Source organism: Homo sapiens, chromosome 4 (assembly GCF_000001405.40).
Source record: "Homo sapiens chromosome 4, GRCh38.p14 Primary Assembly".
NCBI classification, from domain to species: Eukaryota; Metazoa; Chordata; class Mammalia; order Primates; family Hominidae; genus Homo; species Homo sapiens.
The window spans coordinates 189,530,434-189,552,382 of NC_000004.12; the positions used below are offsets into that span (position 1 = coordinate 189,530,434).

At 39.1% G+C, this 21,949-nt stretch overlaps 1 long non-coding RNA gene across 1 annotated transcript, besides 1 other annotated feature; it reads left to right on the forward strand.

Annotated features, from left to right (window-relative positions):
* Positions 20,212–21,411: an enhancer, noted in NCBI's record as "BRD4-independent group 4 enhancer chr4:190471799-190472998 (GRCh37/hg19 assembly coordinates)". NCBI's record gives its function as "activates an origin of replication core promoter dependent on BRD2, P300/CBP, MED14 and CDK7 cofactors, and independent of BRD4, by STARR-seq in HCT116 cells {active_cell/tissue: HCT116}" and the evidence as "EXISTENCE:reporter gene assay evidence [ECO:0000049][PMID:35650434]".
* On the forward strand, positions 20,349–21,656 carry LOC105377615 (uncharacterized). Its single transcript, XR_939635.2, has 3 exons — positions 20,349–20,359; positions 20,713–20,798; positions 21,431–21,656. It is a non-coding gene; the product is annotated as an uncharacterized LOC105377615 (long non-coding RNA).
* The last annotated feature ends 293 nt before the right edge of the window (positions 21,657–21,949 follow it).

Here is a 21,949-nt window from a genome sequence, read left to right on the forward strand (position 1 = left end):
TCTGTGGAAAAGGGGGAAGTCTCCTTCTCTAAGACCCTTTATGAGCACCAGAGCTGCCTGTCTGTTGAGCTGTAGACTATCCCTGCTGAGCCCAGCACTGCAACTGGGTCTCTGTTGAAGTAAACTTCCCACTAGTGGAAAAACCTGAGACTCAAGGCCTGCCATCTATCATCTTTTGTCCTATGGGATGTTCGCTTGATGCGGTTCACTTCCTTTTACCTTAGGATTAGGAGTTCCTGATAACCAGACTAGTGTGAATGTTGCTGGTCCTCTCGGTCTAGCTGCCCAGTGGGGCTGCCACAACCCAAGCTGGTGTTGGGGAATGTCTTCAAGGGAGCCAGTGATATAAACTACCCTCAAGTCTCCTAGCAGTGGGTACCAGCACTCACTCTGATGAGGGTGGCGGGGAAGTGACAGAGTCTGTAAAGTTCCTTGGGTATAAATAGCCTTAGTGTGTAGGCTTTCTCAAATGCTGATTGCAGTAGTAATGAACTGGTCATAGGGTCACACTCAAGAGTTCCTTGTTGGCCGGGTTTGTGCAGGCAGTGGTGATAGCTGAGGTCACACACAAGTTTTCTCCTTCCTGGATGCAGTGTTAGTTTTCCTGGAGATGCTGTAATGGACTGTGTCAGTTGGCTTCCAGCCAAGAGGTGGAACTTGCAAAGGAGAACCAGCTGCGGTAGTAGTGGTAAGATTTGTGTTTGCCTTATGTTACCCAGAGAAAGTATTCTGGTTTCTAAGGTGATGGGATGGGCCATAGGGCTTCCAAAAGTTTCTATCCTTTGTGTTAAGCTACCAGAGTAGGTGGAGAAGCAAAGGCAGGTGGGGGATGGGTCAGGCAGCTTCAAGTTCTTGTTCTCCACTTGCAGGGCAAGCAGAAGTCCCTGAGGGGGTCAGGGGGCAGTTCTCTGGCCACTGGGGTAATGTTCCAGAAAGGAACATAACTGCCTCTGCTTCACAGAAGGGTTCACACAGGGAGTGGGGAATAGCAGGCAAAAGTAAGCCTCACCTAGCTCCCACACACTTGGCACAGCAGGTCTGTAACCCTCAGTATTTGCTAGCAGCAACTAGCTAAATTCCAAGCAGTCTATGCTTAGAACTCAAAACTGCCCCAGGCTGTAAGCCTTTTCCAGGCTGAGACGGGAATCTTGGGTTTCAGGCCATTCCCTTCCCTGTTCACCTGCAAAGCTAGGGCACCCAGGTCCTGTGACCATGGGAGCAGCACACTTTTCACTCACCCCCAGTGAGTATTTTTCTAATGACTGCATTTAATATATATCACACCAACTTTCATCTATAGTATTTTTATTCTTGTTAATTTCCAGAAATTCTATAATTTGTAAGTATTTCCCTTTTTATTTGAGCGTTGTATAATAGAACTTATAATTTCCAGGTAAAAAGTCATTTTGTCTCATTTTTAATTTCTAGGGATACTGTATTATGATCAGAAACTGTAATATTTACATTTTATGGAATGTACTGATGTTTTCTATATGCCCTAGTATACGATAAATCTTTGTGAATTTTCCATACATACTTAAGAAAAAAATTTTCTACTTTTATGGTGTATTACTCAATATACATCTAAAAGTTCTACCTTATTGTGTTGTTTGTTTAGTTTTTTTCTATTTTAATATATATTTTGTTCACTTATTTGTCTTTTGCAGAGAGCGGTATGTTAAATACTGTCTATATTAGTGTGCACCTATGTATTTTTCTCTGCAGCTTTTACAGTTCTTATTTAATATAGGTATTTGCCACATTATTTGGTATGTGGATGCCCATTACTGTTGTATTTTCATTCAAGATTACGGTGTTTACCATTACAAAATATTCTTTTTTATCTTACTAAATGCTGCTTAAATTCTATTTTATGTAGTATCAGAGGCTTAACATTTTCTTTCTTGTCTCATTTGAATTAGATCTTTAGTTTGTCTTTCAGTTATATCATTTCTAACCACTGAATTTTTAGTGTTCCCTTTTATATAGTTTTGTTTTATGAGTTAATTTGAACATATTTTTTCTTTAGTAAGCAAGTTAGGGTCATTCACATTTATTGATATGACAGTTATGTTTATTCTCAATTCTGCCTCTCATGTTATATTATATTACAATTACAGTGCATACTAGATTTAGTGTGACCTCTTGGACCTTCTTAAAATTTCTTTCAGTGTTTGAGAAAATTTATACCTTTATTTATATGTTGGTGGTTAACTTTGAATTAATATTTTACTAAGCTTTCAATTCCTTTTTTCTCATTTAACATATTATTATTTGATATGTTCATTTCTTTTATTATTATTTTTTTTGAGACAGAGTCTCACCCTGTCACCCAGGCTGGAGTGCAGTGTCACGAATGATATGTTGGTTTCTAATAGTATTTATTAATTCCAATATTCTAGGATGAAACAATTAAAAATTATATTCTACTTTTTCTTCTCTTCCTTCTCTCATTCATTGGTTTTATTTCTTCTACGTTGTGTGGACACATAATGGATAATTTTTAAATATAAATCTACCCATGACCCCATACTTGTGTTACTCTTATACCTGCAATGAACTAATAAACTCCTCAGGCTTTTTGCCAATGATTTCCAAGTCATGTTTTTTTAGATGAAGCTCATCCTCTAGTAGATACCTCAGGAAGGGAAATTTATGCAGTACTGAGTTCTGGAACATTCAGATATGTGCCTTGGGCCAGGTGCAGTGGCTCACACCTGTTATCCCAGTGCTTTGGGAGGCCAAGGCAGGTGGATCACCTGAGGTCAGAAGTTTGAGACCAGCCTGGCTTATGTGGCAAAATCCTGTCTCTAGCAAAATTACAAAAATTAGCTGGGCGTGGTGGCTCACGCCTGTAATCCCAGATACTCAGGAGGCTGAGACAGGAGAATCTCTTGAACCTGGGAGGCAAAAGTTGCAGTGAGCCGAGATGGTGCCATTGCACTCCAGCCTGGGAGACAGGGCAAGTCTCTTCCATCTCAAAAAAAAAGAAAAAAGAAATGTGCCTTGACACTTGACAGACAGTTTGAACAGACATATTATCTTTGACTCATTCTTTCTTTCTTTAAGCTTTCTGAAAATGTTACTGCATTGGTGGCTTTCTTTCCTTGTTGTTTTCAAGGAATCAAACTCCATCTAGGTTGTTTTCTGATTTATAAGTTATTTTATCTTTCTGCTTGAAAATAATAAATTTGTTTTTATTGTTGAAGTCTAACAGTTTTACTAGCATATGGCTGAAAGATAATTGTTCCAAGTCATTTTCCTTGAAAATACATTTTCATTGTGTATTTTTGGATATAGTTCGAAGTATTAATTTTGTTCATCATTTTGGTTTTCTACTTCAGAAACATCGATTATATGTATGTTGGACCTTCTTTTCTGTCTGTAATTCCTCTTTATTTACTTCTTTATATCATTTTTATTCTCTTGATTGTTTTTCTGGTTTTCTGTAATGCTAATTATTAAATTTTTAATGTATTTTTGGGGGTCTCTAATTTAGTCTTTATTATATAATTATGCCTTCTATTTCTTTTTTCAAGTTCAATCAACTCTTGTTTAATTTCCTACTGTGTTTTTATAATTTGAGGTCATAGAATTTTTCCCTGGTTCATACTGTTTTCTTGTTTTTTTTGTTGTTGTTGTTTTTTGTTTTTTTGTTTTGTTTTGTTTTGTTTTATTGTTATTGTTGTTCATATTCCCCAGTACTTGTTTAAAAATATGTAATTCATCTTGAAGCACTGTGTTACAGTTTTTGGGGTGATATTTAACCAACACAAAAGCTTTTATTTTTTTTTACATTGGCCTGTGTACAATCTGCTTTCTTCTATTCCTATTCATTTTGTGGACAGAGTTCCTAGTTTGAGAGTTTCTTCTGGCAGGCTGGCATTCTGCTAGGCAGGACTTTTTGTGGACGATGGTGGTGGTGGTGATGGTAGTATAGGAAAAAGGAAAAGACTGAAGCTTCACAAAATCCTTCATTTTTCTGTCTGATTCATTATTCCTCCTCACCTTTTTGTCTCCAGTAAGTGTCACCCCATGTATCTGAAATGACTATCTAATGCTGCAATTTAGCACTTGTTTGAGTACCTTTCTTACAGCATTTCTCTGAATTGTGTCTCAATCCACGTTCCATATTTTTGCATTTATTAGTGCATATTTTCTTACTGAGGCGTGATTTTTCCTGTCTTCTGCACATCTTTCACATTCATCTACATTTTTATTGCAGAGTTCTTTAAACTCCTCCAGCCTGCATCCTCGGATGTCTAATACGGTTTATGTGAGCTCTGTTGGCGTTTGTCTATTTTATTCTCGCTTGTGGTAAATTGAAGATTTCAGTGTTGACATTCTCTGTCTCCATGGATTCTATATGGTTTCGTTTGCTCTCAATGTGAACTTTATGGATTTTTGGAGAGGATGTGTGGGAGATTCAGAATCAGTCTGTCAACATTATTTTCCAAACCTGCAAATCTGAGAGTTAATTTTGTAAGAAAAAAATAAGAACTCTCCCACATATACACTCTCTATAAGTGTGAGCTGCATACAGTTACTTCTTTCCAAAGAATATAATGTGGAAAGGGGGAAATACAAAGTTCTGGCAAACACTACTTTCACCAAGTGACTAAGGTGAAGATCAGTGGTTGTGAATCATGCTAGTGGAATATACCCTTGATATGAACATGGCAACATAGTCTATGATCTTCCTCTCCAAAACACATAAATCCAGTTTAGTCATGAGACAAACAGACAGATTTTAATAGAAGAGTATTATGTAATAGTTTACCAAAGCCTTCAAAACTGTTAAGGTCAGGAAAAACAAGGAAAGTATATGAAACTGTCACAGCCAACAGGAGTCTAAGGAGACATAAAAATGAAATATAATGTGGTGACCCAAATAGAATCTAGAATACAAAAAAATTATGTAAAAAACAAGGAATTCTGAAAAAAGTATAGACTTCAGAAAATAATAATGAAGTTTAGTTCACTAATTATGAAAAATTAACTATCATATTCATGTATAATGTTAATAATAGTGAAAATTGGGCTGGGTATGAGGATGCTGATATACAGGAAATCTCTATATTATATTATCAATTTTTAATAGCTGTAAAACTTTTATCTAGAAAGTATATTTAATAATAATAATAATAATAATAAAGACCAAAAAGACAATCAGAAAAGCTGACTTTTACTGATAGAGAAAAATAATATTATTTATATTTTAAAGGTCATACATATATTTTGTAAATATCAAAACTCATTCTCTGGAAATCAATTGTTGACTTATGAACAAATAAATTAGCTATTATTTACTTGAAGTTTTCTTAAAAAATAAACTCGTGCTCAGATCTAAATAGACATTTAGTGTTGAAACTTCTGATTGAGTTTCTAAGTAAGAAAATATTTAGTGTTTTAGTATACATTGGGGCTTTTTCTGAAGCTATAGTAAATTAAAGGTTATAAGTTTAATCACTTCACTAAGAATAGAGATAACAACATTAACATGAATATCTAATTTAAGAATTATAATTTTGGTTTATTTCTAATTTTGTAACAGAAAGTTAGCCTAAAAATAGTAATTAGTCTAGTTGTTTTTTTTCCTGAAGAAGCATTGTAGTTCTGTGAGTTCAGTTATATTGGTAGTAGATGCCAGCAGGTAAAATATGATGTATCAAAGTCCTTAGGTTAGTTGATCATATGGAGCTCTTTTTCTCTTTATTATGTTTTAGTTCTTAAATATCACCACATATCAGCTCAAATGCAAGAGTTTGTACGTAGAAATGCTAATTCAACATCATGCTCTAATATACCCATTACAGTTAATGTTCCTTTAAATAGTAAAAGTGAGGTGCATTTTTTAATAGAAACCTTAACATGGCATAGGAGATTATCACAATCTCTTATATTCCACTTTTCACTCACATTCAAAATTTTGGAAACAATGTTCATAAATGACAGAGAGGAAGAGAGAGAGAGAGAGAGACAAAAAAGAAAATTTAATTTTTAATCTGCAAGCTTCATTTCGTATGCATAAATATTAAATTTTATCCACAATTATATTATGTTGCCGTTTCAGAAAACCTGTCAAACAGTGTTTTTCCTCTGCTCTCACACCACCACAACAAGATTCATAAACATCCAAGATTTCCGTGTATAAATGTGGGGGGGGGGTTCACTCCACCACCAGGCAAGTAATTAGTTCTGCAGCTGGCCTAGCTGGATGTCCTTCAATTCAATTCTGAAATTAAATACCTGGGGATAATGTCAGATTGTACAGATAGAGGGTTCAGTCCCCAAGACTGCCCCCGTTACCACATACTATTCACAAATCCAGGCATCCAGAACTTCTGATTGACTGACTTCTATTTGGGGTTCCCAAGATCCCCTCTTTGGGTTCAATTAACTTGCTGGAGTAGTTCACAGAACTCAGAAAAACACTTACGTTTGTCAATGTATCATGAAGGATATTGCAAAGGATCCAGATGAAGAGGCGTGTAGGGTAAGGTGTGGTGAAAGGGGCACAGAGTTTCCATACCCTCCCTGGTGCAACACCCTCCAGGAACCTCCATGTGGCCAGCTCTCTAGAAGCTCCCAGAATCAATCCTCTTGAATTTTTATGGAAGCTTCATGATGCCAGCATTCCTTCCCCTCGGGTGTAGGGCAGGGCCACCTCTGGCGAGGGTCTTATGACTCACAATCAGAAGGCAAGGTGGGAGATCAGAGTCCTTCCCTGGGGCAGGAAAAAAAAGGAAGGAGGAAGCCAGAAAGATTCTGTTTCCTGAGGCCTGTTCTTGAGGCACAACATGCCCAACATTATAACAAATGCCTGTAATGGGGGTTATGGGAGTTATGAGCCATAAAAGAAAACGTGCATGTTGTGTGTGTGTGTAACAACACCACAGATGTCAAAAATTAAAAAGAGGACAAAACTAGCTTAAAGCTGGTGCTCTCTCTCTCACTTTCTGTCACTTCTATCTCTGTCTCTCTTCTTTCCTCTCACATTCCAGAATGATTGCTATTTCAAGGGATTATATTCCTCATTCCCTTAATTTGCTCATTTATTCTGAGCACAAGCTGAAAAACTCACTTTATGTGAAGGTTTTCTACATTTAAGTTACCAGAGAATAACAGCCCTATTTCCAGGACCAGTCTTAAATCACATCAGCTCTAAATCTCATTTCCAGTCATCTTATAGTCCAAGTAAAAATTAATCCTAAGCCATTCTTTTGCCTTCATTAGATATGGAAAAGTATATCTTATTGAAAATTATTGTTATGATTATTTGAGATTATAAAAAAGTCATGAGGTTAAGTGGAAAGAAGAAATAATTCCATAGATGACACGTCTGGATTTAAAAATCTGTGCTCCTGCATGGAATAAAAAATTTGTTTCAATTTGGAAGTAAAATTAAAATTTGATAAAATGGGTTTGAATTTGGACTCCAGATTAATATTTTCAATAGTTATTCACATTAATTATCTCTGTTTAGTCATTAAAAGTAATAATTCCTCCTCAAATCTAATTTGTAAATTATTGTAATTCGTCTTTGGAGAAAAAAATCTTCCCTGCAAGTGGGTAAGGGTCTCCCACATGTGAAATTCTCAAGCAGTTCATAACTAAAAGGATGAGGTGGGGGAACCTATTTGAGAGCTTTCTCACAAAAGTGCTCTGTTCTCACAGCTGCTAAACATCCTGACGGAAATAATCTACAACAGGGACACGTAAACATTATATTCAATGTAAAATATAATACAAGGGGGTCTATTTAGGAAATTAAAAACATAAAAGGAGTGGGAGGCAATATGGCTGACGAGATGCAGCCAAAGACAACATCTCCCACCTAGAGACCAGGATATCAGGAAGACCGGCACACTCCAAGCAGATCTTTGAGGGGAAGGCATTGAGAGTGCATGGAAAAAGAACGAAGACCTTGGGATGAAGGAAGAGAAAGCTGGGAACCCTGCACAGGACTGCTGAGCACCAGGACCTGCTCCTGGCCCCCAACAGCTCCTGGGGAAGGAGTGAGTTGAACAGGAAAAAAGTAGCCTGCTCTCACCACAGACCTCTAGAATCCTAGCTTCAGGAGACCTCATGACCTCACCATCACTTAAATGTCAGGGAGAGCTGTTTGGAGAGGTGGCAGAGGCCACTCTGTGGAGCCCAGGGTGTTAAGCATGAGAACAGCTGCATTAGAGCATGGCCAGGGACACCTATGCTCCAAGACTTGCCATGCTACTCTAGGTGGCTTTGCTTCGGTGACTGTCAAACATGGACAGAGCAGGGGAGTCCTGCCCATGAGACAGGACCGTCTGATCTGAGGACACCCCTGTTTGCCATCTTCTCCTAGGGCCCCAGGCTGGCGGCACACACTTGCAGTCCTGCCTTGAATGTCCAACCAGGGTGCTTCCTGGGGGGCCTCATTATAGCTCTTTCACCAGCAGACCACACCTGACCATTGGAGAACTTCAGCAGACTGGCAACCACTGACAGATACCAGCCTACCTACAGCCTTTCTCCACAGCAGCCTGCCCCACAGCATTGCCAATGCACACTTGGTCATGGCTTCCTTACCCTCCATTGCTTTGCCAACACATGCACTCAGATGGATTCCACCTTTTCTCCTTTGCCAGCATGCAAGTGCACACACCCTGTCATCCCACCACTGTCAGCGTGAGCATGTGTGCATGGATGCTGGTATATGGGTGCCCCATCCCCACTGATGCACAGGGACACTGTTGTGCCACTGCTGCTTGCACACATGTGTGTGAGAACAGATCCCACTGCCACTGTCCCAAAGAAGCACTTTGGTTGGCACCTCTGATTGGAGTGTTGTTGCCAACAAACAGGGAACACCCACTCCTCCAGTGCAGCAGGCTTCTAACTTCAAGGGACCAGGGAGAAAAGCCAGGGCCCAGTACCAGCTTCCCAGGTTTAGAGCTTGCAGCTCAGGAGTGATGAGCTTAGTTTTGGTAACTTGAAAGTTTAAAGAAACATCAGACTACACAGAAGAGAAAAAATCAGCACAAGAATTCTGGCAACTCAAAAAGCCAGAATGTCATCTTACCTCCAAACAATCGCACTCATTCCCCAGCAAGCATTTTTAACCTGGCTGAAATGGCTCGAATAACATACATAGATTTCAGAATCTGGATAAAAATGAAGATCATCAAGATTCAGGAGAAAGTAAAAACCCAATCCAAGGAGACTAAGGTATCCAATAAAACAATACAAGCACTGGAAGACAAATTAGGCATTTTAAGAAAGAATCAAACTGATCAGATAGAGCTAGAAAATTCACTACAAAATTTAATAGTGCAATCACAAATATTAACAGCAGAATAGAGCAAGCTGAGGAAAGAATCTCAGAGCTTGAAGACCAGTACCTCAAATCAATTCAGTCAGACAAAAATAAAGAAAAGGAAAAGAAAAAGAATGAACAAAATCTCCAAGAAATATGGGATTGTGTAAAGAGACCATACCTATGACACGTTGGTATCCCTGCAAGAGAGAGAGAAAAAAACAAGCAACTTGGAAAACATATTTGAGGATATTGTCCATGAAATTTTATCCAACCTCACTAGAGGCCAACATTTAAATTCAGAATATGCAGACAAAACCTGTGAGATACTATATAAGATGTACATCCCCAAGACACATAGACATCAGATTCACCAAAGTCAACATGAAAAAAATATCAAAGGGAGCTAGAGAGAAGGGACAGACAGGTCACCTACAAAGGAAACCCCATCAGGCTACCAGCGAAATTTTCAACAGAAACCTGACAGGGCAGAAGATATTCGATGCCTATATTTAGCATTCTTAATAAAAGAGAAATTCAAACTCATTCTCTGAGGCCAGCATCATTCTGATAGCAAAACCTGGCAGAGATATGACAAAAAAGAAAGAACCAGGTCAATATCCTTGAAGAACAGAAATACAAAAATCCTGAACAAAATACTAGCAAACTGAACCCAGCAGCACATCCAAAAGCTGATCCACTGTGATCAAGTAGGCTTTATCTCTGGAATGCAAGGCAGGTTCAGCACGCACAGATGAATAAATGTGATTCATCACATAAACAGAGCTAAAAGCAAAACCACAAGATCATCTCAATAGATGCAGAAAAATCTTTCAATAAAATTCAACATCCTTTTTATGTTAAAAACACTCAACAAACTAGGTATTGAAGGAATATACTTGAAAGTAATGAGTCAGATATGATAAACCCAGAGCCAACATTATACTGAACTAGCAAACTCTGGAAACATTCCCCTTGAGAACAGGAAACAAGACAAGGATGCCCACTTTTACCACTCCTATTCAACATGGTAGTAGAAGTCCTAGCAAGAGCAATCAGGCAAAAGGAAAAAAAATAAAAGGCATCCAAATAGGAAGAGAGGAAGTCAACCTATCTCTGCAGGTGATATAATTTTATACATATAATACCCCAGAGTCTCTATTTAAAAGCTTATAGATCTGATAAACAACATCAGCAAAGTTTCAGAATATAAAGTTAATGTACAAAAATCAGTAGCATTTTTATACACCAACAATCTGCAAACTGGGAACCAAATCAAGAACACAATTCCACTCATAACAGACACACACATACCAATTATCTAGAATACAGCTAATCAGGGAGGTGAATGACCTCTACAATGAGAAATACAAAATAATGCTGAAAGAAATCAGAAAAATTAAAAAGTATTCCATGTTCATGGATAGGAAGAATTGACATCACTAAAATGGCCACACTGTCCAAGCAATTTATAGGTTTAATACTATTCTTATTAAACTATCAATTACATTTTCTACAGAATGAGAAAAAAACTATTTTAAAATTCATAGGGAACCAAAAACGAGTCCAAAGAGCCAAAGCAATCCTAAGCAAAATGCACCAAGCCGAGGCATCATACAACCCGACTTCAAAATGCACCAAGCCGGAGGCATCATATAACCCGACTTCAACATGCACCAAGCCGGAGGCATCATATAACCCGACTTCAAAATGCACCAAGCTGCAGGCTTCATATAACCCGACTTCAACATGCACCAAGCTGCAGGCATCATACAACCCGACTTCAAAATGCACCAAGCCGGAGGCATCATATAACCCGACTTCAAAATGCACCATGCCAGAGGCATCCTATCACTCGACTTCAAAATGCACCAAGCCGGAGGCATCATGTAACCCAACTTCAACATGCACCAAGCCGGAGGCATCATATAATCCGACTTCAAAATGCACCAAGCCGCAGGCATCATACAACCCGACGGCAACATGCACCAAGCCGCAGGCACCATATAACCCGACTTCAAAATGCACCAAGCCAGAGGCATCATATAACCCGACATCAAAATGCACCAAGCCGCAGGCATCATATAACCCGACATCAAAATGCACCAAGCCGCAGGCATCATATAACCCGACGTCAAAATGCAATAAGCCGCAGGCACCATATAACCCGATGTCAAAATGCACCAAGCCGCAGGCATCATACAGTCCGACTTCAAAATGCACCAAGCCGCAGGCATCATACAGTCCGACTTCAAAATGCACCAAGCCGCAGGCATCATACAGTCCGACTTCAAAATGCACCAAGCCGCAGGCATCATATAACCCAACTTCAAAATGCACCAAGCTGGAGGCATCATATAACCCGGCTTCAAAATGGTACGAGTTTGCAGAAACCAAAACAGCAAGATCTGGAACAAAAGCAGACACACAGGTCAGTGAAACAAAACAGAGAGCCCAGAAATGAGCCACACACCTTCGATCATCGAATCTTTAATAAATTCTACAAAAACAATGGGAAAATAACTCTCTATTTATTAAACGGTGCTGAGATACCTGGCTAGCCATATGTAGAAGATTGAAGCTGGACCCCCTTCTTTTCTCCATATATAAAATTAACTCAGGATGATTAAAAACTTAAATGTAAAACCTAAAACTATAAAAACCCTGCAAGAAAACCTAGCAAATATCATTCTGGGCATATTTCATGATGAAGATGTCAAAAACAATAAAAACCGAAATTGACAAATGAGACCTAATTAGAAAGCTTCTGCACAGCAGAGCAACTATCAACAGAGTAAGCAGACAATCTACCGAATGGGAGAAAATATTTTCAAACTATGCATCTGACAAAGGTCTAATATCCAGCACCTATAAGGAACTATATTTACAAGCAAAACATATTTACAAGCAAAAATCAAACAACCCCATTAAGAAGAAGTCATACACGTGACCAAAAGGTATGTAAAAAATGCTCACATTGTTCATCATTAGGGAAATGTCATTCACAGCTACAATGAGATCCCATCTCACAGTAGTCAGAATGGCTGTTATTAAAAAGTCAAAAAATAACAGATGCTGGCAAGCTTGTAGAGAAAAGGGAACACTTATGTGCTGCTTGTCGGAATGTAATTTAGTTTAACCATTGTGAAAAGCAGTTTGGTAATTTCTCAAAAAACTTCAAATAGAACTAGCATTCAACCCAGCAATCCCATTATTGGGTATATACCCAAGGGAATATAAATTGTTCTACCATAAGGACACATGCATGTGTATGTTTATCTCAGCACTATTCACAATATCAAAGACATAATATCAAACTAAATGCCTATCAATGATAGGCTGGATAACTAAAATATGGTACATACACACTATGGACTACCACGTAGCCATAAAATAGAATGAGATCATGTCCTTTGCAGCAGCGTGGATGGAGCTGGACACCATCATCCTACACAAATTAACACAAGGACAGAAAACCAAGCATTGCATGTTCTTACTTATAAGTGGGCATTAAACATCGAGAACAAATGGACACGGAGAAAGAAACAATAGATGCTGGGGCCTGTCTGAGGGTGGAGGGTGGAAAGAGAGTGAGGACAGAATGACCTATCAGGTACTATGCTTATTACCTGGGTGACAAAATAATCTGTACACCAAACCCCCACGACCCACCAAGTACCTAGATAACAAACTTGTACGTGTAGCCTGGAATCTCAAAAGTAAACACAAAACAGCATTGATGAGATTTCTGTTGCAAATCTCCTATATGAGTAGTTATTGAAATTCTAAAAATGGAAACTTAAAAATAATGCTATTCAGAAATCTCAATAAAAGTCTAGTGCTCATACAGGTTTGCATTATCTTCAAGTCATCAAATTAAGAAACAGCAAAAGTGAAAGGAAAGCCTTGACTTACGTTCTGCATTCCAGTGACGTGGACCACCTGCTCCACACGTTGAAATAAAGATGGGGGTTTACTGCTGCATCTCTTTCATATGAAGAAAACACAACTCAGATTTCCATCAAAGAACAAAACCAAATTAATTTCACAGTGAGATAAATACAAACACAAACTTTTCAACATCCTAAGAGAGAAACAGCAGTTCTTAACTGATTACAGTAAAAATCAGACACAGCTCAGATTGATTAGGGTTTTTAAAACTTATATGAAAATAAAACAAAAAAAGTGAAAATCTTAATGAGATTCTCCAAAAGAATAAAATATTTGTCATTCGGTGCTACATCCATTAAGTTAAAATTGTATGCCAGTAATCAAACAAAAGTCCTATTTTAAAAGTTTCAAATAATGTGGAAAGATGAACTGGAACATCCAATGAAAATGTTAGGTGCTGCTCTCAAAGAAAAAAAAGGATAAAAAACTTCATTTGAAGACAGAGATTGCTTTGCTCTTTTCTGGAGATCTAAGGAAACTATGAGGTTGTGCCTTTGACGTGTTTTTATGTTGTCAGATTTTCCAAATGCCTGCAAAGATTTTGTATGATCAAATAATGAGAAATATACATTTAAAAAATCCATTTAACTTTTGGAAGTCAACAAGCTAAATAAGGTTCACTTAGTGTCTTTGTTCTGTCTTTTGTTCCCCATTTATCTTAAATGCTGCTTCTTTCTTTCTCTGGTTCAAAGAAACAAGTAAGTAACTCTAAGACATAAAAGTGAATTATTGGCCTAGTGCTGACCTCATAATAGTAGTCTCTAGAGCACCCAATTAAAAAAATCACCTATGGTGCAAGTTCGATCATTTCAGACTTCCGCAATTTAAAATGCCTTCTTTTGTGTAAGGAGATGACAATGGCCTCATCCATAGGTCGTCTGTTTCTGGGCTGCTTTTCCAGGTGGATGCACATCGAACATCTTCCTTGCGGTTGTTCCTGGGAAAACTGACTGACTTTGGGAGATGGCTGTGGCTAAAGCAGCAAATGTACTGGCCCTCTGGAAGATGAACATTCTCAGCATTTTTTTTTAGCTAAAACTCAAATAATGACACCTAACTTGCAGATTTTATTTGGGTTAAATCAGATTTGTGAATGTATAGACCTAGACATTAAAACAGAGCACACCATACAGTAAATGCAGACCTGCATTTGTTGAATGTGAAAGTCTTTGTCTCATTAGTAACTACACTCACCATATATCAAAACGGGGGGGTAAAAAGAATCATTTCTTATGAAAAATAGATTAGCTGCTCTTAGAGGCAAGGACAGGAAAGGTCTTTAGTTATTTTAGATTTTAAAGTAAAACTGGCCTTAAAAAGAACGTGGAATTAATTGTTGTTATTCCTGCTGCTGTTGTTTGGAGGGAGGAAATTACATTTATGGTCCAAAACTGAGAACCAAAGCCACTGATGACCACACATCCAAGTTTGCATTCTGCCAACAATTTGCCCACAGTTGGGGCCAGAGTTGGCCAGAAACAGTAAGTTATGGAGAAGGGCCAGATTAGATTAACCCCCAAAGCAATACCACTTATCACCAATAAAGATGAGGAGATGAGCTTGTAGCTAGAGGGATTGTTAGAACAAAGTTATGCAGAGACTCTCTTCACTCTCTTCCATCACAGAGAGTCCAAGAGTAAAGATGTGGAGATGGTGAGGTAAACACAGCGATGCCTGCGTGCAGAGGAGATGGGTGGCATGTCTGCTTAGCCAGTTATCTCCTGTGTTACCAGGCATGGCCCAGGAGAGTCTGGGAGAGCAGGTGGGGATGGTGAGAAAGTGTGAGTGCTCTGTGGGTATGGTAGAGCCATGCAACGTAGTTGAGTTTGAAGCTTCTTGCCAGCATTCTACTCAAGATGCCCATGTAGATAAAGGATCCCAGCAGCAAGAACGTCATGGCAGGGGGTATAGAGGCGTTGGAGGCAGGTTGTAGAGGTGGAGGTGGCAGGGAGTGTAGAAAAGGCCAAGTCTGAGCTGGGCAGTGGGAGATCCCTCTCTTCTGTGGTCTTCTGAAGAGCCCACACACAAGCCCCGATGAGAGAACTGGCATTTAAATGAGAAATGAGAAAGAGCAACAGCCAGCTACAGAGAACTTTGCAATTTCCTGTTTAACTGAGATTTTTTAAATTTTATTTTTCTTCTTCTTACATTCCCCTCAAACACACTGAAGGAGCTATCACCTAGCAAAAGAGAAAAGGGCCTATTAAAGAGCTGATAAACTCCATCCTTTCCCCCACCGCCACCTCACACACACAATCTTAGCCGCACCAGCACCAGGCTAGTCTAACCACATTAGAAAGAACAGGGGATTTCTTTGGTAGAGCATCACAACAAATCCTAAAACTTATGTGCAAATGCAAAGGATAAAAAATAGTCACAACAATCTTAAAGAACAAGGAGGAAACCATGTACACTACTAGGTTTCAAGACTTTTCATAAAACCATAGTAATTAGGACAGTGTGGTACTGGTGTAATAGACAGTAAGCACCACATTGTCTTATTACTGTGGAATAATGAAAAGGGAGTTCTGAAATAGACCCACATATGTGGTCCCCTGACTGACCACAAATAATGGTATTGGAGCAATGGAATATCCATATGATGAAAAAATTAACCTTGACACTCATCTCACATTATGCACAAAATTTACTTGAGGTGGACTATAAACAAAACGTGAGATATTCAACCATAAATCTGCTAAGTTCAACTGTGTGCCACGCTGCTTGGGAGAACAACTGCAGCAAACTCAGCAGCAACTGCAGCAAACTCAGAGGGTGCCCTCGGATATTCTGCATTTTGGAGGGAAACGGGGCAATACAAACTTCTGTCAGATTCCTCACGAAATATCAGCTAAGCTAATTCACACGTTCAACATCGCATTGCGCCACTTTTTATTCTGCTCATGCCTTAGCAAAATTAGGTGTTCAGTGGTGACTATCAAAAAAGCAAGCACTGTGCAAAAACTAGTGTGGAAGAGAGTAGGAAAGCTTGATCTAGGTAGGTACTTATTTTGTACATAAGCAAAAATTTAGAATTGTCATTTTATGTGCTTTTCTGTATTTATTTACTTTTATTTTTTCTATTATTACTTTTTTGAGATGGAGTCTTGCTCTGTCGCCCAGGCTGGAGTGCAGTGGCGCAATCTCAGTTCACGGCAACCTCCGCCTCCTGGGTTCATGCCATTCTCTGCCTCAGCCTCCCAAGTAGCTGGGACTACAAGCGCCTGCCACGATGCCCGGCTAATTTTTGTATTTTAGTAGAGATGAGGTTTCACCATGTTGGCCAGGCTGGTCTGGAATTCCTTACCTCAGGTGATCCGCCTGCCTCAGCCTCCCAAAGTGCTGGGATTACAGGTGTGAGCCACCATGCCTGGCCTGTATTTATATTATATCTCAATAAATAAATAACCAGAACTGAGTTTTAATTAATATAATAAGACAATTCTAAATTTAAGTGACTACACTATTATTTAATCTGACCAAACTAAGTGCAAAGGCATTCAACGTAGGGCAGTTAGTGGCAGTTATTTACAGAAATTGTCCATATTTACATGTCCTGCAATGTGATGTTTCTTCACATACAGTTTGTTTAATAAGCATAACATACCACGGTTCCTAAACCGTGAGTTTGGGTTCTTACTGCACTATTTATTGTTTGCATAACCCTGAGAAGTTACCTCACCTCTTTTAAAACCAAGATAAAAATGTCACCCTACCTTACCAGATTGTTGAAAAAATTAAAGGTGTCATGTATGCCTAGCAGAGAGTGAGAGCTAAATAAATGTTATATTTTGTCTTTATTAGTATTATCATTTCTCTTCCACAAATCTCTAGTAAACATGACTAGGCTTTTATAAACAATTTATGCAACCACAGGAATGTCATTTTCAGCATAGACACAATTTTTGTCACTGATTGAGATCAGTGCAAAACCAGGAAACCAGAAGGAAGTGGAGAAGAGAAAAGGCAGGTGGCATTGAATGGATGTGGGTGAGTCAGAGTGAAGGTGTTTGCAGCACAGCCTTGAAAGAGGGAGAAACGCAGATGCACACCATCCCCACTCCTTAATGCGCACTCCAGTGTCTGTGGGCAGAAGAGCCTGCCGCCACCACGGCGGAACTGAAGCAATCCAGCCCCAGCAGAGGAGAGAGCTGAGAAATGGCAATTCAGCTGGACCAGCATTATTCACCTCAAGAGTTCAGCTTACTCTGCGTCTCTGACCCGGAGATGGTATCAGACAAGTAGAGAGGAGAGGAGTCATCATTGCAGAGCTGTGAAATCACTATGGCAATACATATTTCAATATCTGATTAAAGAGATTAAGATTTGATACAGTGCACATAAAGCCTGTATCAAACCAAATTAATTCTAGTCATATTTTTTAAACTGTGGAAGAAGATCCTGAAAATTTTCTAGTGATTATTAGGTAATAAATGAAAATCAACACTCCTGTATTCACTAATTTAAGACCTGTGAAATGTTTCTGTAGTCTAACCACTGTGCTATTTTACTAGTTTTCATAAACAACCAAAAAATATTCATAGCTTCACTGAAGACCTTGGGTTCTCAGCCCTCCACTGTGCCCATAAAGCCTTATGTTTCTTTCCTGGGAATTCTCCTATGACAGAATTATTTTAGAATGTTGATCCTCAAAAATTGGGACATGATACTTTAGCAAAACATCATTTTGAGCCAATATTTGCAATGCTGAGATTTCTAAGTCCACATAAAGGTCTCCAGACTGTTTGTAATTCCCCATTATTTATGTTGAAATAATGGACCTGATTTTCCTTCTCTTTGACTCTACTAATCAGTAAAAATCTTTTTGCTAGGGTGAACTGGTTTTCAATGGCCACCCTGAGCAATATATTTCTTAGCTTTGGAGACATAAGCATTCTAAAGAGAGGCTTTCTTCATTGTCTAAGGTAGAGTTTTATGAGTAGTAATGGCAAAGATAGTCTGCTTTTGCCTCTGAGCAGGGAAAACCTAGCTGATTATGCTGACCTTTCAAATTTTCACTCCATGTGCCCATAATTCTGACCCCCTCATGTTCTATTTTTAGATACTAGGGGATATTAGGATCAGATCCAGTTGGAACTGACCTCTAAGGTAAATATGAACAAATTAAAGGGTAAAAGATCTGGGAGACATTTGACACATCCCCCACGGGCCCTGAAATAATAAAAAACAAAGAATCCTAAGAGACAAGCTTCCTGGGCAAGAATGTGAGGAGTGTTTGACATTGCCTGGGATGGCACGGCGGAAATGAATACACCTGCTGTTCTGGAAGAGCTGATGTGGGCTTGAAGCCCCAGCTGTGATAACAAGACCACAGTGACCCGTGACTACGTCTTGACTGAAATGCAGGCCTTGAATCTAATCATTGTGTTGAAAAGAGGTGTTGAGCCTACGAAATGAAGGCATGTCTGGAAAAAGAGACACAGCAATATGTTACAGCCAAACTATAATCTAAATCCCACAAACGCATGTCATCCCACCTGCTATTCGTTTCCGTCAGAGCTGTCACCCAGTGATCTAGAAACGAGAAAGGGGAGCAACAGCTTTGAAAAGAAATGCTACATGGTGGGGAGTGAAGGCAGCTATGTGGCTGATAGCTCATGCTCCTTGTGTTATTTCCACCCCTTCGGTGGTACTCCATGAATTTCACCCCACATCTGAGAAATGGCTGGTTCAGCAAGCTAACAGCATACAGATCCTACTCTTTTCTATTTTAACCAAAAAAATTCCTAAGTGGTATTCCTTAAATCTTGAGCAACTACGATTCCTTAAATCTTGAGCAAATCTTGAGAAAACTATGTCGTACTAAAAATAAAAAGGTATTCTCCTGGGAAGTGGGCCCTATGTCTATTAAACATACTTAGCAAAATCTCTTGCTGTGTCGGTATTTCCAGAAGGTCCTTAGCACTCACCAGGAACAGTGGTTGCCTCTAGGAATGAAATGGGATGACGGAAGACCTGGGGAGCAGTGGCAGGAGGAGACACTCATGATGCGCCTTTTGGCCATAGGTAGTTATTTTCCACATGCATGGAGTGCCTTGTATTGAACCAGAACTAGTAATTATAATACCTTGCATTTACATAATGTTTTGCAGCTGTATTAATGTCTTCATATCAGTTCTCTCATTTAATTCTCTGTTGTTTGCATGAGGTTGCCTTACTAGCTCCATTTTGCCACTGAGGAAATTGAATTCAAAGGGCTTTAGAGATTTACTATGAGGAAATATTGGAGGCCAAGCTAACACGTAAGCTTCCAAACACTCAGCAAATCTTTCTTCCACCACACCACATTACTCTCAAGGAGGAGGGAGAGGAGAAATGAGGAAAAAAAGCCAAATTTTTTCCTTCAAAGGTAAGTAGTTAGAATCATCAGTTTTGGAATGTATTATCAGTAAAGGAACCAAGGTGATCTTCCTGAGGCCAATTTAAAATCTAATTCAAATTATTTGAATTATTAAGCAATAAGATGTCTTCCCTTTACGTTTAATTCAACAAGCATAAATAACAGCATAAATTTTAATTATCTGGGAATAATTAGGAACACATTTCTTTCCTATCACACTTAGGGCCAAATCACATTTCTAAAGTGAAACCTAATCTAAGAACTTTCCAATACAATATCATATAATTAGGTAATTTAAAAATACATTTTGAAAATGAAATCTCCAAGCATCATTCATTAACAGACTCTGATATTCCCTTCAGTCACTGTCATGGCTAAGAAAGCAACTCCAACCCACACACTGCAAATATGAAGGACCACAAAAGGCACGCAGGCTCTGGTTTGCATAGTGAAGATGAGCGACCGTGTTCCTAAGCATGAAGGACCATGAAAGGCACGCAGGCTCTGGTTTGCATAGTGAAGATGAGCGACCGTGTTCCTAAGCATGAAGGACCACGAAAGGCATGCAGGCTCTGGTTTGCATAGTGTGGATGAGCGACTGTGTCCCTAAGCATGAAGGACCACGAAAGGCATGCAGGCTCTGGTTTGCGTAGTGAAGATGAGTGTCTGTTCCTAAGCATGAAGGAGGACCACATGAGGATCCTGGACACCTACTGCATGAATGTATTCACCCTTTCAGGTCTAGGGACCTGGTAACCATTTATTATTTGTACTCTGATTTTCTTCCATTTCTTTCTCCAGTCCATAAATGTAACTTAAGTGACTTATTAACACTGATGGTTTGATCACCAATAGCAAGTTCCAGTTTCAGTCTTAGTGTAGGTGCCCTTATTACAGACTTGAGATAAAGTCCAAGGCTAACCACTCTTACAAGTTTACACTTTGCTAAAGGGTACCTTGGGACAGAGGGAGTGCAGAGCAGAGAAAACCTACCTGTGCAACTGAGAAGGCCGCTCAGGCCACGGGGACAGGGCAGGAATGCTCTCAGGAGTGTCCCCTGCACCTGAACTTGATTTCACGCCATCACCTTCCGCCTCTTAACCAGCATCTCCTGGACAGTCAGCCGAGTGTTTCCATGATACCAGCCATACCTGATGCCAGGAGACTCGCTACACTTGGAAGCTCTTCAAGGTGGGACTTTCTGTCTTGTTCAGTTTTTCATTCTCAGTAGTCAACACAGGACCTTATACTTAAAGGAAATAAGTATAACGTCCTAACAAGTGCTTCTGGAATAAATGATCATGGCTGAAATGAGCATCTGAAATGACGATATATCTAGAAAGAACAGAAAATATACACTGGACGTATTTTAGGTGGCTGAGATTATTGAATGGGAAAATAGTGAGATCTTACAATTGAATGGGTATCATAAATGCTTCCTGTATAATATCTGATTTTGCCCTTATCACAAAGAATTCATATAACCAAAACTATCTCCCTAAAAATGTCTTCCTAAACATGAAAACAAATTATTTGACTTCATAATGCAGCTTTTTACCCCAAAGTGTCTGACCCTTTCACTAAACATTACTCGGTATTAAATAGTATAGATATAATTTCTCTGAAATTCACTGAATATGATTTTCAAATGCTGTAATTCCTAAAAATAATATCTAGGCTGCCTTTAATTTCTCATGTCAGTAATAATTAATGTCCCTACAAAGCTTATGGGGAATCAGAAACATTTGTTTATAACATACTGAAGAATTTTTAAACAACCACAGAATATGAATATAATAAGATAAAATATTAAATATTTCCAGGCATGCTTATCTTTGTGAACTGAATCTTGGAGAAGCAGGATTGAAAATAAGAGCTATCTTTGAGGCTCTAGCACCTACAAGAGACACCCTCCCTCTCCACCGTGGATCACCTGTCTCACCCGTGTGAGTCTCCACACAGAAACCAGTCATGGCCCTGCCTTTGCCCCCCTTGAAATCACCCAAGAGGATGCTTCAAACTCAGGCAAGCACAACTGATACTCACTCTGCATGCGACAGCAGGGGAGTGACCTTACGAGAAACTAATGGGCCTCGCTTCCTGAGAATCACTGTCAGAGCCCGTAACATAAGATAAATCACAGCCAAGGATTTTTGAAAAGTTTCCTGATGAGAGAACCATGACCTTTTCAAGGGTAGTGATGGATTGATCAGGGCAAGCAATAGGTAGATTTTTTAAAACAAGCCTGGCGAAAAAAACAATGATATATATCTACCAAAGTTGGCTGGAATACCCGGCTGGTGTCCCAGTCAGGAAACACAGGAAAAGGTTACATCTGTAGA